The 18659-nt window shown below is 38.5% G+C and overlaps 1 protein-coding gene across 2 annotated transcripts in view, besides 1 other annotated feature; it reads left to right on the top strand.

Moving 5' to 3' along the window:
* FBN2 (fibrillin 2) overlaps positions 1-18659 on the top strand; it is a 280337-nt gene that overhangs the window by 177426 nt on the left and 84252 nt on the right. For both annotated transcript variants that reach the window (XM_017009228.3, NM_001999.4), the window contains 6 exons: positions 3425-3544; positions 9815-9952; positions 10815-10865; positions 11348-11473; positions 15236-15463; positions 16310-16435. In XM_017009228.3, the coding sequence (XP_016864717.1) occupies positions 3425-3544; positions 9815-9952; positions 10815-10865; positions 11348-11473; positions 15236-15463; positions 16310-16435 (789 nt within the window). The remainder of the gene's footprint in view (positions 1-3424; positions 3545-9814; positions 9953-10814; positions 10866-11347; positions 11474-15235; positions 15464-16309; positions 16436-18659) is intronic.
* Positions 14582-15781: an enhancer, noted in NCBI's record as "BRD4-independent group 4 enhancer chr5:127680731-127681930 (GRCh37/hg19 assembly coordinates)". NCBI's record gives its function as "activates an origin of replication core promoter dependent on BRD2, P300/CBP, MED14 and CDK7 cofactors, and independent of BRD4, by STARR-seq in HCT116 cells {active_cell/tissue: HCT116}" and the evidence as "EXISTENCE:reporter gene assay evidence [ECO:0000049][PMID:35650434]".

The following is an 18659-nucleotide window of genomic DNA, read 5'->3' as shown; positions in this document are numbered from 1 at the left end:
TTTTTTTTTTGTGATGCCACAGCCAAGAAAACTGCAGTAGTAATAGTATGCAAAAAGATGTAACATTCTCTCTTCATCTTACTGTTTAACTTCAAAGCATTCTTGTGAACAGAAACCAGTTAGGACTATAGAACAAGATGCCAAAACATGAATGACTCTGCTGAAGTCAATGAAATGCAATTACAAAGTGCAGTGCTAACTTTGAATTGAATCAGAGGGGCCACTAAAAAACAGTAATTAGCCTAAAGAAAAAAAAAAGAAAACTTCAGCATAAAATCCCCTTTTTCTAAACTTACTTCTGGTGACAGTTTCCCCTATTGTCCAACATCTTTTCAGGAACTCCTCAAAGAGGAGTGCTCATTCCATTCCCACTGAAAGTACTTGAAGATTTATCTTTTCAGTAGGTGAGAAGGGGACACACTTAAGAGTTTGAAATATCTTTCAATAGGTTATGAGAGTCCTCTTTTTAAGCCAGCTCTGGCTTCTCAAATGTATTCAACTACAGAGTCTCTATTTTCTAGATCCTGCTCCCATCTCTAACACCAATTCTTCAGAAATGCTCTGAGAAATGTACTTTATGAAAAAGTATCCTAGCCATATTTCCTCCATGATTTCCTTGGACAGATGGAAGAAGGGATTTCAAAGGTTTTTGTTTTTCCTGATTTTCTACACTTCCTTCCCGTAGTCTTTTTTCAGTTTTGTCTGTTGTCTGTTGGAGGATAAGCTTCCGTTAAATCTCAGGAAACTTAGAAAGCAAGAGCAGGGTAGGACGTCATCTTGATTTAACTAGGAAACTGATGATTTTTAGAACTGGTTTCTCTGTCTAGGAAAATACTTTCTGGTGCTATTGTGAGAGACACGTAATGCGGAACTAAATGGATAGTGTCTGGTTCTATTTGCTATGTACACTGAATTATCAATGATTATTTATAGACAAGTAACAGAGTACAAAGGTTCTGAGAGTTGAAATACCAAAGAAGGTAAAATCAGAGACTCACCTGCTTACATGAACAGTTAAGAGTAGGAGCTGGTGGTGTTTAATAGTGTAACATTTGGTGATTATGTAAATATTAAGGCACTTTCATACCAAATCAGGCAACAGTGAGGGTTAGAAACAGTGATCTTCACTTATTACAAGCATACTTAATCTGAGAGATTTATTTAATGTAAAAACAATTTTATGTCTGTCATTCATAGGAAAGAAGTTCATGTTATGTAAATAAAGAAGAAATGATAGACAACTCTTTTGGCTCCAGCCTTATGACATTGGAGGAAATAAAAATGATTTATCATGGGAAACCTAACCAAATAACTGTTATTTCTACACTTTCTTCCCACTGTTATTTGCATTTTATTAAGAGTTTTGCAAAGAATAGACTTGAAGGCTACTAATCTCTTTTTCCCTTGGGTCGCTTTCTTATTTCCTCTGTTGCATTCAAACAGTAAGTGTTTCTGTCTGAAGCAGTTCTCTTCATTCTCTTCTTTCTGAATTAATTTCCAAAGACTAGACAGGGAATTATTAGCAGATTCATTGCAAATCTTAGCTTTTTCTTGTATATTTGTCTTGTGCACTAATTTTGTTTGTCAATCATGTTTTCAGAGTATTTTAAATATATAACAAATAGCACTAATAATAAAGAGAGTAAAGTTCTTCTATATTTCAGATTGAAGTTACAGAAACTTTATTTTACTTTTTTTGTTTGAGCTCTGAGAGTCTGTGAAAGTTAAAATTTTTACAGCAAGCACTGTGGTTTAGATTGTGTTTCCAGTGACATAACTAGTTAAATGTAAACCAGATGTGCTTTGAAGTTTATTTCCAGGAATGTACAGTGAACTGTTTCAATTCCTGGTTCCATGACATTTATAACATAACAACATATTATTTAAAGGAAAACTAAATAGTTGATATTTGTAGTTGTCAGCGCATATGTTTATAGTTTCTGAATTCATAATTGCTTAATTTAAAATAGAAATTTTAAAAACACACAATATTGAAATTCTTCTTTTTTCAGGCTTCTTACAAATGAAATTAATAGGAGAATTATATGTGGTCTGTCCTTAGATTTGTTATCTGCTTCTTTTATGGTTAGCTAGTTTCTTTTTTACATTGTGTTTTTATGAAAAAGTTTCTCTACTCGGATTGATGTTTTCATTAGAAATCTGTGCTATATTTACAAAATCTCTTCTTGTATTTTTAAGAGGTTTTCTCAGTATAAACAATCTGAAAAGCAAAATACATTCATATTTCTTCAAACAATTTCTATTTCAAGAATTAAATTAGCACCTGGATATTCCGCTGCGAGCCTTGCTCTTTCAGGATTAGTTTAGTTTAAAGTCCTCTAGTTATTTGTTTATGTGCTTTCCTCAGTATAGTAAAGTGCTTTATAATAAATTCAAAGAAATATTTAGAGAAAGAAAAAGTATTCTTGTGAACCTAGAAACCCCAGTGTTCAATATAAAATGCCTTGAGGACTATTGACCTCTTTCAGATAATTTAGTAGAGAAGGAAAACTGTGTGCCACTTCTTTAAAGTGTACCACTTTAAAAGTGGTTGAATTTATACTGAAAATGTCTTTGATTTTTTTTATAGTACTTTACCTGAAGCTTGTATTTCTTTTTCATTAACTCATGTGTTAAACTATTTCACATTACAGGCTTGACATTTTCTGTAATCACCATTTGAGAACATAGGCATAGTGCAGTTCTGCTTACTTCTGACCATCAACAGGAATTGTTTAGATTATGGTATATGATTTCATTTAGGACTCAAATCAAATAAATGGTAGAGTCCCATTTAAAGCAATTATTTCTACTTGATCAAGTATTTCTAATTTTTATTTTACCAAAATTAGTTGTATTAAAAAAAAACTAAGCAAACTAAACATGTAAATGTGAACAGCTAAAGACAGAGAAGGTGGATAGGGACTAGAGGAGAGTTATGTACCCACCATGAATGTTTCAGTCCTTATTTCCTGATTCATACCCAAGAGCTTGGAATTAAAGCAGCATTGTGATATTTTGCATCTAAGATAGACTTTTTAAGTTTTTCAGAGCCTCATGAAATCATCAAAGCAATCAACCTTTGTTTGTGCACAGGATGTTGCACCTGGAATTGCATCTTATTATGTGGGAAAAAAAAATCCAATTTATGTAAAGTTGTGATGATGTATTGAAGGAGCATGTAACTGAACTCTTTCCCAATAGGCTGATCACTGTGGTCCTACTGAGTTCCCAGTCCTATAGATGTGTATCCACGATGTAAAATGCATGTCTCCATTCCCCATTCACTTTATGCTTCATAGATCCATATTAAAATTACCAGAGCCAAGTTTACCAGACATTCTGGCATTGCATGGCTTGTTGGAATAATATTTTCCAGAAACACATGGCAGTTCTAACAGAATCTTTTCCTTCTGGATTGTAGATATAAATGAATGTGAAAGCAACCCATGTGTCAATGGGGCCTGCAGAAACAACCTTGGATCTTTCAATTGTGAATGTTCGCCCGGCAGCAAACTCAGCTCCACAGGATTGATCTGTATTGGTAAGATTCATACACAATACTGATGCTTCAATTTCACTGCCAAGATAAGCACAGATCTCAGGCCTTACTACGGATAAAAACAGAATATGATTCCAAAAAGCAAAGAATTACACATTATGTTAGTTGTTTTTACTCAATATCAATATAGAGGTAAAACATAATAGCATTAATTAGGCAGCCTATTCAATTTTTGTTAGATTCTAGAAATCTTCCTTTTATATAAGTAGATATATTATGCTATAACTTATAATCATTTCCATACCACACACATATGTATATCCGTTACCCTAAAAATGCCTTGGGCAGCAATATAATCAAATCTCTACTCCATACTTTTTTATAAACAAACTTCAATGGCAAACAAAAAATGTGATGAAATTTGGATTCAGTTAACAGGACAAGAATTTGAAGCTTTTAAACACATAGAGGGAATTTATTATTTTTTCTTTTTTCCATCAATCATAAATTTTGGGGCTCTAAGGAAGAGAAGATAACTGTTCTCTTGCTTTTGGAAATCTCTAGGGGAAATTATTCTAAAACATCTAAACTAACATCTTTCAATATGTCTCAAAACATTTAAAGTCAGTTCTTGATAATGACATGGGATGTATATTAAGGGAGATTGATCTGTTACTGCAAGGAAAAATCCAGCACGTAAAAGGGAACAAAACTGTCCCAGTAATTTTTCCCTACTTCTAGCCTCTGTGGTTCCATTCACTAGGCCTACACAGTTCACATCATTAGCTAGTATCCACCTTTAAAGTGAACTAAATATATATTCCAAATAGGAAGATATTTCAGTTTTACATAGTGCCAAATTAACTGGCAGTTTTTATTATCTAGCCAAAATGAATCTTTAGTTTCATATTTGTCGAAGACAATAGCTTTTTCAGTATTATGTCTGACATTAACCATATTTAGCTGGATGCTAGAGTACCTGTTTGTTACATAAAGACAAATGACCAAGTCCAAAATTATCAATGAAAACCTTCTCTTTGGAAACACCAACTCCTCGTTTCCCAGTGAGGTACAGCTGGTGAAATCTGAGCCTTGTTCAGCTCTTCATATTAGGAAATAGACTGCCATCTGCCTGGGGCATTACTTTTTTTCTTATAGAATTCCGGGCTGGGTTGGGGGGGCGGTGGGGTGTGTGGGTTGGAGCCACTAAAGCAGAAATATTTTTGCTAAGCCACAATTTCCAATTGAGATGGAGTCATTTTATTATGCAAAGGAAATGAATTCAGCATTAATCAATTAATGTCTCAGAAAACTAAATCTGCATGCCACTTGAGCATCAAAGATAGTTTTTGCCTCATCATGTAGACTTCCATTATTTTGGCCTTTTGCCCTTATATTTATTAACTAAACAAGAACAAAGACTTTTTTACCCCCAAGTCTTTATGTCATTCTTCCAATTGCCAACAACTAACCACCACCATATTTTTCTCAGCCAGTGTATTGTGTGCTTTCATTTATTGTGATTAAATTTGAATATCCCAGTGTAGAGCAGCTCAAAATGAGATTTCCCTAATATTTTTAAAGTTTAGACATTATTTCATGTACTTTTTTATTAAAAAGAGAATCTAGTTGAAAAAGAAAATAACAAATAGTAAAATATACACAGGACAAGTCATGAATGTATAATAGGACTGTCAGTGGCTCTCATCAGTGGTTAGCCTGCAACTTTCTCTTCCACAGGTCCAGGTCATTACATTTTGAAATTTCATGATGTGATTACTAATTTAAAATTACATTAGATTATATATGAATTAGTTGGATACTATGAATATTTAAAGATTTAGAATCTATTTTTCAAGCTTTCTAAATATAAATTAATCTTCAACTATTCTGCAAACTGCTTAAAAAGACTATGGTGTTCTGGTTGAATATGGTTAAATGTAATAGAACAATGCATTTGATTAATATTTCCTGCATTATACTGCTGTGGTTTGATGGTTCTATATAATCCAGACCAGTTTCCCTCATCTTTGGCTTGGGTCTGCGCTCTGTCTTCAACTTGCATGGATATATGGCTGTGACCACTCTGCTGTCAAATCCAATGGTCTATTCTCATTCCTCACCTTAGATTATTAGCAGTATTTGTCACAGTTCATTAATCATTCTTTCTCAAGAAATTTTGCATTTTTGGCTTTCCAGGCACAACTATCTTCTTCTTCTTTCACTTTTATGGCACATTTTCTCTTTCCTTTACTGAGTCCTCCCTATCCTCCTAACCTTTAACCTGAAGTGTTCCACCAGTCCGTCTTTGGACCTCTGTTTCTCTTTCTACACTCATCCTCGAGAGCCTCTGTGTTGACTCTCACATTTGTCACTCTAGTTGATAATGAAATTCTAGGCCTCAACCTTGCCACCAATTCCAGATTTGTGTTTCCAACTGTCTGTACAGTGTCTCCACTTGGATGGCTCATCGATATCTCAAATTCCCATGTCTAAAACCAAATTCCTGTGTACTGGCTTGAACCTGAGTCTCCCAGGAACATTTCCATCTCAGCAAATGGCAAATTCATTCTTCTAGCTGCCACCCCTTAAAACCTTGGCAGCATCCTTGATGTCTTTTTCTCAAGCTGTATATGAAAGTCATCAGCAAACCTATTGATTGCACTTGAAGTTTATCCATATTTCAACCCCTTCTCACGATCACCACACCAACCCCCAATCCAAGTCACCATCATTTCTCTTCGTAATTACTACTGTAGCCTCTACCTTACCTTCTTTTCCTCATACTACACTCAGTTCTCCACATAGCCACTAGGCAGCCCTTTTAAAACATAAATCAGAGCATATCATTCTTTGTCCAGGAACTGTGTCTAGGAAATCCTAGGCTTCTCATTTCATTCAGTAAAAGCTCAAGTCCTAACCGAAGCCTGTGCTCCCCTCATGATCTTGCTCCTGCTGTGACCTTGTTTCCCTGTGCCTCCCACCCCCTCAGCCTGAGCCAGACTGGCCTACTTCCTGCTCCTGCGTCAGACACATGCCCACCTGAAGTCCACTGATCTATCTGGCAGGAATGTTTTTCTCTCGGGTTTGCAGGGTTCTCTTTATGTCTGTATTCAGGTGCCACATTGTAAGTCACGATTTCTCTGACCATCCTACATAAAATAACAGTCTTTCTCCTGTTTCTCCCCTCAAGCTAATTACCCTGCTTTATTTTTTGAGAGTTCTTAACTAATTCCTGACTATCTACATCTGTATCTCAGTTGTGTGTGTGTCTGGGGGCCGGGATGGGCATACACACACAACAGTGGGTCAGTGGGGAGACAGGGAGGGAGGATGGAGGAAAGGAATCGGAGAGAGAGAAGGATGAGCCTGTAGGGGGGTGCGGGGTGCTATCAATGGATTTGTAGCTTTTCAAGTGTTGATACAGCACCAGCCTAAAGAATCACAGTGCTACAGAGTGAGGGCTTTGGAGTCAGACTGCATGGGCTTGAATCTTGATGCTGACACTGTACTAGCTGGGTGACCTTGGGTAAATTGGTTGACCTCTGTGTGCCTAAATTTTCTCATCTGCAAATTGTACATAATTCACAGGGTTGTTTTAATGAGTAAATAAATTAATACATAGAAAGCCTTCCAGTTCCTGTCACTATCTTGATAAATCTTAGCAATAACTGTTGTTTATCTTACTTAAAATGATGACAAGGTGATAAATCAGAACTAGTCCAGGTCATTAAAAGATCATTTAAATACACAGTAGCTTTACACAAACATCTCTGTTTCCTCTGTGCTATGGAATTTACAGATGTAAATCTATAACAAGCCTGCAGTTTGAGACCTGACACAAATGCTTCTCTACAGTTTTATCCAAACTGAACATTCCAGCCAGAGTGAAAAAGCAAAGTGACTGTCCAGCTCTTTTTCACACCTTTGCCCTGTAACTTTTTATTCAGTACAGGAGAGAATTGTTTTGTTTCAACCTCTGTCTTGGTGTTTGGGTTGTTGGTAACTTCTTGTGTTTCCTAGGGAATCAGAAATTACTATTTCTGCCATCATAGGCCCATGGTTTAATTGTAATTCCCTTTCTGTGTTTGGGGGCAGGGGGGTATTTTTGTTGTTGAATTTAGAAGTAAAAACTTTTTTTTTTTTTTGGAAGACAGGGTCTCACTGTGTCACCCAGGCTAGAATACAGTGACACGATCTCACTGCAGCCTCTGCCTACGGGGCTCAGGCAATCCTCCCACCTCAGCTTCCTGAGTAGCTGGGACTACAGGCATGTGCCATCACTCCCAGCTAATTTTTGTGTTTTTTGTAGAGACGGGGTTTCACCATGTTGTCCAGGCTGGTCTTGAACTCCTGGGCTCCAGCGATCCGACTGCCTCAGCCTCCCAAAGTGCTGGGATTATAGTCATGAGCCACTGTGTCTGGCCAGAAGTAAATTTTATCTGTACATATTATTAAAATGAATTTTCAAATAAATACTATAGGAATACACTTATTCTTTGTTTTCTTCCAAGTCTTAATGCCACAATATGCTGTTGAGGTTTTGGTAAAGTGTTTTCCACATCACTCACATCAGAATCACCTGAGGAGTTTGTCAAAATTCAGATTCCTGGGCTGCATACCGGGAAACTTATGAATCGGCATTTTAACAAGTGTCTTGGTAATATTATGCACACTTAACTGAGAGCCACTGCTCTACAAGGAAAACATGACATATGATTTGTTTTAGCCAATTAGTATTTGCTATATCAGCTTTGACTGGATTCCTTATCACTGCTTCAAAATCAGTTAACAGTCATTTATTATTTGTTCATTTGAAAAACTTTTCATTATGCCACCAAAAATATACTAACCATTCGTTATTCCCTTTAATCCACATAAAATAAAAATTTTAAAGTGCATAATATTTCACTGGGTACTCTACCATTCAAAAGGAAGAACAAATTTGATGTGGAGTCAGTCTAAAACGTTAGGAATGGTTATCTCTAGAGGGTTACAGGTGATTTTTACATCTTCCTCATACTTCTCTATTTCTTCAAATTGTTTACCATAAGTATGATTTACTTTTTGAACTAGAGATAAATCTACACACACACATACACACATTTTTTAAGTGCCTGAAAGAAAATACATCAGATATTAGCCCTGGGAATGCATTAGTGAGGGTTTTATAAGTGATGTTTATTCCTTCTTCGTTTTATAGGGCTTTTTCTTTTAAATTATTCATCAAATAATTATCTTCAGCTGGAGAAATATTGGCCTTTGCATAACAGAACATACATTGTGTGTGATTTATTTAGTAGGGACTTAAGGTAGAAGGAAAAGGATTTTATACGATAAAATCTTAAATATCAAAGCATTTGTCATTAAGGATATATCTTATGAATACTTTTCACACAAGTGATGGTCTTATCATGTTGTTATAGTATGTTAAAAGAAAAAAAAAAAGAAGGGCGGGGCGCACTGGCTCATGCCTGTAATCCTAACACTTTGGGAGGCTGAAGTGGAAGGATTGCTTGAGGCCTGGAGTTCCAAACCAGACCAACCTGGGCAACATGGCAATGCACTGTGTTTCTGAGTACCAGCATAAAATCTTGGACAACTCCTCTTAGAATATCAATAGATATAATTATATTAATTACCATATTATGTGAGAGAGATACATAGTATAATATTTTATTTACATATATGTAATATACCATATTTGAATGCAGGTACATGAAAGTATTTTCAAAGTATATGCTATTAAAATTTTTTCTTTTTTTTTTTTGAGACGAAGTTTCACTCTTGTTGCCTAGGCTGGAGTGCAATGGCACAATCTTGGCTCACTGCAACCTCTGCCTCCTGCGTTCAAGCGATTCTCCTGCCTCAGCCTCCCGAGTAGCTGGGATTACAGACACCTGCCACCAAGCCTGGCTAATTTTTGTATATTTAGTAGAGACGGGGTTTCACCATGTTGACCAGGCTGGTCTTGAACTTCTGACCTCAGGTGATCCACCTGCCTCGGCCTCCCAAAGTGCTGGGATTACAGGCGTGAGCCACTGCACCCAGCCCCACTATTAAAACTTTTAAAGTATTCTTTTTTTTTTTTTTCCTCTGGTGGAGATGGGGTTTTGCTATTTTCCCAGGCTGGTATCGAACTCCTGGGCTCAAATGATCCTTCCTCCTCAGCCTCCCAAAGTGCTGGGATTACAGGCGTGAGCCAGTAATCTTTCTTTTTTAGAATACTGTAACAAATGCCTTTTGTGTACACAGCTGAATTCTATTTTCTTCAGAGGTAAGAGCTCCCCAACCTTTCCTGTTCCTTTTCAGACAGCCTGAAGGGGACCTGTTGGCTCAACATCCAGGACAGCCGCTGTGAGGTGAATATTAATGGAGCCACTCTGAAATCTGAATGCTGTGCCACCCTCGGAGCCGCCTGGGGGAGCCCCTGTGAGCGGTGTGAACTAGGTAGGAGCCTTATTGGGAGCTTCTGGGCTTCTCCTTGGAAACTTCTCCTGCCACTAGGACACCTCTTTCACTACGCAGTTCCTTAGTGAAGAAGGTCAGAGATCATTTACTTTTGCTAAAATGTTATCTTTCCTGGCTAATGTTTTTTACCTCTTAAAATGTGTATTTGTTTTATCCTGGTACATAAGCAGGCCTTCTAAATATTTTAACATGGAAGGGAATCAGCTAGAATCTATCTGCTAGATGACTGTATCCTCTGGTATCCTTGTTTGCGTGGTGGCTGTTTTCCTCAAATCTTTTGTTTACTTTTATTTTTTTGAGACGGAGTCTCGCTCTGTCACCAGGCTGGAGTGCAGTGGCGTGACCTCAGCTCATTGCAACCTCCACCTCCCGGGTTCAAGCGATTCTCCTGCCTCAGCTTCCCGAGTAGCTGGGACTAGAGGTGCCCGCCACCATGCCCAGCTAATTTTTGTATTTTTAGTAGAGACGGGGTTTCACCATGTTGGTCAGATGGGTCTCCAACTCCTGACTTCAAGTAATCCACCCTCCCAAAGTGCTGGGATTACAGGCGTGAGCCACCGCGCCTGACCTGTTTACTTTTAACTCAGTTGTCAATGTGACAGCAAAAAGAAATTGTAGGAAAAATTATGAGAATCTCAATACAGGTCAATACCAATGGAGTTACCACAGAAAGTCATGTGCCCTACTGAATGAAGAGGGGACAATGATGTCCTTGGACCCTAAGACCCTGCCTTGCATTTTTTATTTAGTTCCATTTAGATTTCATTATACTTCTTCTTGAGCATACCATGGTTGTATTTTATTCTATAATGAAGTAAAATTTGTCCTGTTGTTGTTACAGATACAGCTTGCCCAAGAGGGCTTGCCAGGATTAAAGGTGTTACGTGTGAAGGTGAGTGTATCCTTCCTTGGAAGATACTATACATCTTTTGAGCAGTAAGTAAAATTAACATTCACTCTCAAACTTTGGAGATATTTATCATTTTCAAAAACCTTGACATTTCAATAAAAATACTCGATGTAATCAACAAATGCTTTAGCATAATTCTCTTAGGAAAGAGCTTAGAGTTTCCCGTTTCTCCTCTTTATGGAGTTGTGTAAATTTCATGAAGACATCGCTAGCCTTTAAGGCCCAGAACAGCTGGGAAAGGCACATGTCTGGGCCATGTTTTATGGACAGGCAAGGCTGTGGTAATTTTCACAGCTGGTACCTAGGAAAGCGGGTGGCTCGGTTGTGGAATATTTCTGTTTAACTCAAGTAATAATCCACATTGTATTGAATGTGGATTGAAAATGCTATACAGGAAGTAGGACCACACCTGCTTTTTCTATTTGTAACATCTTTGCTCCTCTGCTTGCTGCATTTCCCTGCAGATGTTAATGAGTGTGAGGTGTTCCCTGGCGTTTGTCCAAATGGACGCTGTGTCAACAGTAAGGGATCTTTTCATTGCGAGTGCCCTGAAGGCCTTACGTTGGATGGGACTGGCCGTGTATGTTTGGGTAAGATTCACACCCTCATGTATTCTATGTATAAAACAAGCCATGAATTTCCTTGTTTAAGCAGTGGCTAGTCCAAAACCACAAGAGTTTGTACTTGAGAAAACTTGCTTTAAATGAGATATTTAGGGGGAAATCACTAGAGGCTGTTTTAAAAGTGAATGTATTTATGCGAAATTGTTTCTGTTTCATGCCAAAAGTTGGGACTGCTCAAAAATCTATCTCAAAATCTTCCATTTCTTTAACCAGATAATTTAGACAGGTTCAGTCTTTCACACTGAGTTAATAGAGTAAGAATATGTTGAACACAGCAGGAAAGTTGGAGACTAGGATTTTAAAAGTTTACATTTGTCAGCTCATTGCAGCTACACCCTGAAGACAGTGGGGAAAGTCAAGAGCAAAGATATGTTGCTTCTGCTTGAAATCATTCACTGATCCTGGTCCTTCCTTTATTGCTATTAGAGTTTAAGTTTTCTTAATAGTTTATTTTTTAAAGATCTGTAGTGATGAATCTCTTTCTTTCAACAGCATATTATAGGAATAGTGATTTGACCTTTTTCTTTATTAGTGTCATGTTTGAACTTGAATTTCATGATTGAAAAAGAAATTTCTATTAATTTTCATTGTATGTAACAATAATTTTTCATTTACCTACAGAGATTTTTTTTCCCCCAATAAGCTATGGAACAGTAAATTTTTAGTTTATAAAAGAACTTTACATAGATTTGTATTTGAAATTTAGACATGTAGACAAAGCATAAATAATAGTGGTGGTGTATGCAATCACCTTTAAAGTATTTACATATCAGTGATTTTTAAAATTTACTGTAAGAAAAAAGTTTGCAATACCATACAGTTATTATAATTAAAACAGATTTCATTTTTAACTCAGTTTTTGATAGCACATTTAAATCTGGATTGGAAGCATGACTGTAAAATCATACAAAATTATTTAGAAAACATAATATCCAAAGTACAAAAATAAAGAAAATGTCTTTCAGATTTTTAAATATTTTAAAAATTATCTTTAAGTGATCTACAATGTTTAGAAATAAGTATCATTTGAAAATGACAAAATATTCCCCCAAAACTATCGAAATTTTAAAAAAAGAAAATGTCAAAAATAATAATATCAGTATGGCCAAATGACTAATGAAATCAAGTTACCTTCTATAATGAAATGCTATAATATATGAAGATATATCATTGATTGTAAATTATTACTCAGCAAAATAAATTTTCAATAACATTATTCAAAATTATGGCTGGGAGTGGTGGCTTACGCCTGTAATCCCAGCACTTTGGGAGGCTGAGACAGGTGGATCACCTGAGGTCAGGAGTTCAAGACCAGCCTGGGCAACATGGGGAACCCCCCCCTCCCCGTCTCTACTAAAAATATAAAAATTAGCTGGGCATGGTGATGCATGCCTGTAATCCCAGCTACTCGAGGGACTGAAGCAGGAGAATCGCTTGAACCTGGGAAGTGGAGATTGCAGTGAGCCGAGGTCGCACCACTATACCCTAGCCTTGGCAACAGAGTGAGGCTCTGTCTCAAAAAAAAAAAAGCATTTTTTAATATTCTAAGATGATATATTGGATTCTTCATCCTTGTACTTTGCTTAAATGCTTTTGTCACCACTTGAATTATGCTATATTAATTAATTCTGTCTGGGGATGTGAGAAAGTTTCAAGAAGCAACTGGCACATGAAAATGTAAAGTATTCTGAGAACTAAAGTTTTGGTAAATGCTCTGATAGAACCTCATCTGAATCAGGGATCCCAAACTCAGATGCTTGCAGGAGCCAAGCATGTAACATATAAATGAGTGACGCGACAACAGGGAGCAGTGGGGACTGCAGCAAACTTCAGAGAACATGGACCATCCAAAGGTTTCCAAATTCATATTTTAATTTCCATGCAAGGACAATCGCAGCATTGATAGGCCTTATGTGGCCAGTGTACTGACGTTTAATTCCTGATATAAATATAGAGTTCTCAGTAGTGTGCTGACTTTTAATTGCCGATATAAACATCCATAGAGGTCTCAGTATTAAAGACAGGATTGCTCTTCCTGGCTGTTATAACTTTTTACATGCATAGTTCAGATGCCTTTCCCCTCTCACCCTAGTTTATTCCAATAAGCTATGAAATGGTACATTTTTAGTTTGTCTTGAGCTTCTTGAGCAGGTTTCTTCAGTAACCTCACAGTATGACTCAGGCCAGAGTTCTTAGGCCACCTGTACTTATATAAGACTTTCACATCTTGAGAAGATTCTTACTTAGCTGCTGACATATGGGACGGAACCAGCTATAAGGAGACTAGCCCCTCAGAGCCCTGTGATAATGAGACGCTGGATTACTATCACACTTCACACTGGCAAAGCATGTGGCTTTTTGGTTTGTGTTAATGTAGATATATAAGACAGAATCACCTTCTGTAGATATCTACATTCAGTCTGCTGAATCAAAATAAACATTTACCACAGTTATTTTTTCCTTAAAAATAGGACTTTTTCTCAGGTAGCTGGGATTACAGGTACCCAGCACCATGCCCAGCTAATTTTTGTATTTTTAGTAGAGATGGGTTTTCGCCATGTTGGCCAGGCTGGTCTCGAACTCCTGACCTCAGGTGATCCAGCTGCCTCAGTCTCCCAAAGTGCTGAAATTATAAGCATGAGCCACCACGCCACACCTGGTCTGGGCAACAGAGTGAGACTCCATCTCAAAAGAAAGAAAGAAAGAAAAAAAATAGAACTTTTTAATTCCAGTACTCAGAAATGTAACTCATTACCTTTTAGAACTTGAAAGAATCAATATTGACAGTAACTAAAGTAGTAAACATTAATTTTTATGTGTACATTTCCATCAGGGATCTCATTCCCTCCGTTAGACAGTTTTCAGCTTCTGGAAAGGATTTAATGTCTTAAAATGTTCTTATCAAAGAAATCATGCTATTTGATTAAGGAACCGTTTCCAAACTCATTATCCATATTTGTAATTAAACAGCCAAGTGCTTTAGTATGATTTGAAAATAAATCTATTTGCTAACAGATGAACATGTTATTTATAGACCATTCTGGTCTACTCTATTTTTAGATGTAGGCGACTGTTTATAGATATTCTAAGGTCCTGGCTAGCACAGGCTAAGCACTGAAATGTTGGTCTGTTTTGAAGTTGGAGGGAAAATGTGACATTTAAACAAATAATTGGTCCCTTAAAACGGAAAATTCACATAATCCAGGGAAAAACCATGATGCAAAAGGTAAAGTTGGCAGGAGAAAAAAAAAAACTTTAAATGTAATAATATTATAACACTTTCTTTTGTAGTGATCTTAATAGTTGTAACAAATTGGCAAATAGATTATAGCCGATCATTTACTGTTTATGAATGGGATCTGACAGGGCTGCTTAAAAGGCACTTGAAGCAATTCTCTGAACAGGAAGAATTATCATTAAAATTATCTTACCTTTTCTAAAGTGAACAATACAAAAAAGGAGTAATAGACATGAAGCAGTCATCTCATGAGAGGACCTTTTCTTCCTGAGGGTTTCTTGTGAGAATTAAGACTGAAGAGGATCTCACCTTTGTTCTCCTTAAATGACTGTCATTATGGAGTCCATTCCAGGAGGTCAGGGACTGCATCTTGCCCACCAGTACACCGCAAGGGTCCTGCATGATGCCTGGTGCTGAGCAGACGCTTGACATGTGACTGTTCAATGGATGTTTCAACTCATTCTCACCCTGTGATTTCGTTCTCGGTGTAGATATTCGCATGGAGCAGTGTTACTTGAAGTGGGATGAAGATGAATGCATCCACCCCGTTCCTGGAAAGTTCCGCATGGATGCCTGCTGCTGTGCTGTCGGGGCGGCTTGGGGCACCGAGTGTGAGGAGTGCCCCAAACCTGGCACCAAGGAATACGAGACGCTGTGCCCCCGCGGGGCTGGCTTTGCTAACCGAGGGGATGTTCTTACTGGGCGGCCATTTTACAAAGGTAACTGCCTGCGGCCAGCGCCTTGGTCCTTCTTCACCAACAGGAAGCCTTCCACATTCTCTGAGAATTGGTTTTGCTTTAAATGTTTGACTTCCCACTTTATTTTCTCAGTTAAACTTAGGTTTTGTGACCAATGTTCTGTCCCAAGAGTATAAATCCCCTATAAGATGGCATTGAAGTAAAGAGATAAAACAGATTGCTTATCTTTCTCTTCTACTCTTTGTTCCTCTGCAACCGGAGATGTCGCCCTGATAGCTACATCTGTAGCAAAAAGTTACCTATTCCCACTTATCTTTATAAAACAAGTAGTGAGAAATAAAGGAATCAGAACTCTTTCTTAAGCATATAGAATCTTTGGCCGGGCGTGGTGGCTCACGCCTATAATCCTAGCACTTTGGGAGGCTGAGGTGGGTGGATCACCTGAGGTCAGGAGTTCAAGACCAGCCTGACCAACATGGTGAAACCCCGTCTCTACTAAAAATACAAAAATTAGCCGGGCGTGGTGGCTCGCGCCTGTAATCTCAGCTACTCGGGAGGCTGAGGCAGGAGAATCGCTTGAACCTGGGAGGTGGAGGTTGCAGTGAGCCAAGATTGTGCCATTGCACTCCAGCCTGGGCAACAACAGTGAAACTCTGTCTCAAAAAAAAAAAAAAAAAGAATATAAGATCTTTTTCACCATATTGAAACTTCCTGTGTGATATCAGTGTGATCACTGAAACATTTAGTAGCCCTGTTTTTTACTTGGATGCATTACTGTTGTCCATCATGATAGATTTTTAACTTAAAGTGATGGACCTAATCGTTTATATCAACCGGCTCTACATTCTGGCTTCATTCTGCTTTTAGACATCAATGAATGCAAAGCATTTCCTGGGATGTGCACTTATGGGAAGTGCAGAAATACAATCGGAAGCTTCAAATGCCGTTGCAATAGTGGCTTTGCTCTAGACATGGAGGAAAGAAACTGCACGGGTAAGATGGTTCTGCTGTTTTATTTGATAAACTCTGGCTGTCTTTCCTTTACTCTGTTTGAAAGGACTGCCCTAAAAAGCTAATCCTCTCATTGAGAACATGAAAATTTTTATTTATTTATTAATTTCTTTTTAGAGAAAAGGTCTCACTTAGTCGCCCAGGCTGGAGTGCAGAGACATGATCATGGCTCACTGTAACTTCAAACTTCTGTTCTCAAGTAGTCCCTCCACCTCAGCCTCCCAAGTAACTGGGAGCACAGGTGTGCGCCACCATGCACAGCTAATTAAAAAGTTAATTATTTATTTATTTATTTATTTTAAGAGATGGGGTCTCACTTTGCTTCCCAGGCTGGCCTCAAACTCCTGGCTTCAAGTGGTCCTCCTGCATTGGCCTCCCCAAGTGCTGGGATTACAGGCTTGAGCCACGGCATCCAGCTCTGTAAATTTTTTAAATTTCTTTTCTCTACACTTAAACCAGTTCTCCAAATAAACTCGTTGTGAGAGAACTGCAAAACATCATGAAAATGCTGTTTGTTTTATATTTAGGAACAGCATACAAATATGATTTTCAAAATATATGACTACTAAAGAAATACAGTCATTAAATCCACAAGAATTATATAAACTTGAGTAGTGTTCTCTTAAAGATTTTAAGGTTTGTGATATAGAAGTTATTACTTCTTTTCCTCATCTGTGAACAGGAATCTTAATATTAGTTTTCAGTCACCATCCATACCCATAACATTCTCTTTGAACAAGATGTGAAGTTCTAACTTTTTCTATTAGTATACCATGTTGTTCCAGACCCTTGAGCTGTGTCTTCAGGATCTCGTTCTCAGCACTCTCTTTGTTCGTATTCTCCATGGGATTTCCCCTTATCGCACTCCCTCCTGCCTGCTCCTTCTTCCTGACCTCACGGCCACATCTTTCTTGGCTCTTTCCTGTGCCTCCTCAGCCAAGGCTATCTCTGAGCTTTTCACAGCTGTCCATCTGGCTTTCTGAAGTCCTGCTGCCTTGAAGTCTGCTCAAGCCCTGTGCCAGTCTCCAGAGCTTCATCCCCTCACCTGTTTTCTCCACTCTGGCTGTTGCACTTGGCTGGGAGAGTCTGAGGAGTGCTGCCTGAGATTACTGCATTCACCTCCAAGTCCTTGAAGCTGCTTGACAACACTCATATTCACCTCCATTCATCACTTTCTGAATTCCTCTCAGCACTGCTTCTAAACCTCTTCCCTGACTTACATGCCCTCTCCTCTACCCTCCACCCCCATCTATTACCGTTCTCCTTCATTGAGAATAAATCTGATTGCCTGCATCCTTCTCACACAGCCTCCTCTCTAGTGATAACATCTCCTTTATCCCGCTGGGCATGGTGGCTCATGCCTGTAACCCCAGCACTTTGGGAGGCCGAGACGGGCAGATCACCTGGGGTCAGGAGTTTGAGACCAGCCTGACCAACATGGAGAAACCCCGTCTCTACTAAGAATACAAAATTAGCCGGGCATGGTGGTACATGCCTGTAATCCCAGCTACTCGGGAGGCTGAGGCAGGAGGATCGCTTAAACCCAGGAAGCGGAGGTTTTGGTGAGCCGAGATCGTGCTATTGCACTCCAGCCTGGGCAATGAGAGCAAAACTCCATCTCAAAAAAAAAAAAAATCTCCTTTATCCCCCACTCCCTCTCCTCCGGTGACAGAGAATGAGGTGTGATGCTCTACCTGGATTTGGGGTTAACTCCTCTTTTCCCTCCTTCCCAGCTCCTGCTCTGGGTTGTCTCAGCAGGTTCGCTCCTCTCTCCTCTCTCTAGCATCTCCTCTTCCCTGCTTCCTGTTCCTCAACTTATACACAGGTTCAAAATATCTCCTCAGCCCTTCTTTTCTCTCAAGCTACCATCCCGTTTTCCTGCTGGTAAGTCTCACCCCTCTCTTTCAACCAGCCATTTGTCCTGTAATTTTGACTTTTGCCCTCTGTCACTCAGGCACATACATGTATACTCATCTACTCTTGCAAAACATCTTTGTGGTGTTAAAACATCTCTCCTGGACCTCTGCTTGCCAAATCTCTCCTTGAGATTTTCTTTTCTCTTAGTTTCTGTGGTATTTTCCGGTCTTGATCATCCTTCTATGCAGATGATGTTTCTTCTCTAACCTCTACAGATTCTTCTTGCCTTTCCCATTTCTTGGGTGTTGCCAGAGTCCTCTACTCAGCGTCTTGCCTCTCAGAGTTTCAT

Source organism: Homo sapiens, chromosome 5 (genome assembly GCF_000001405.40).
Source record: "Homo sapiens chromosome 5, GRCh38.p14 Primary Assembly".
In the NCBI taxonomy this organism is placed as follows: Eukaryota; Metazoa; Chordata; class Mammalia; order Primates; family Hominidae; genus Homo; species Homo sapiens.
This window is presented reverse-complemented; position numbering and strand designations above follow the sequence as displayed.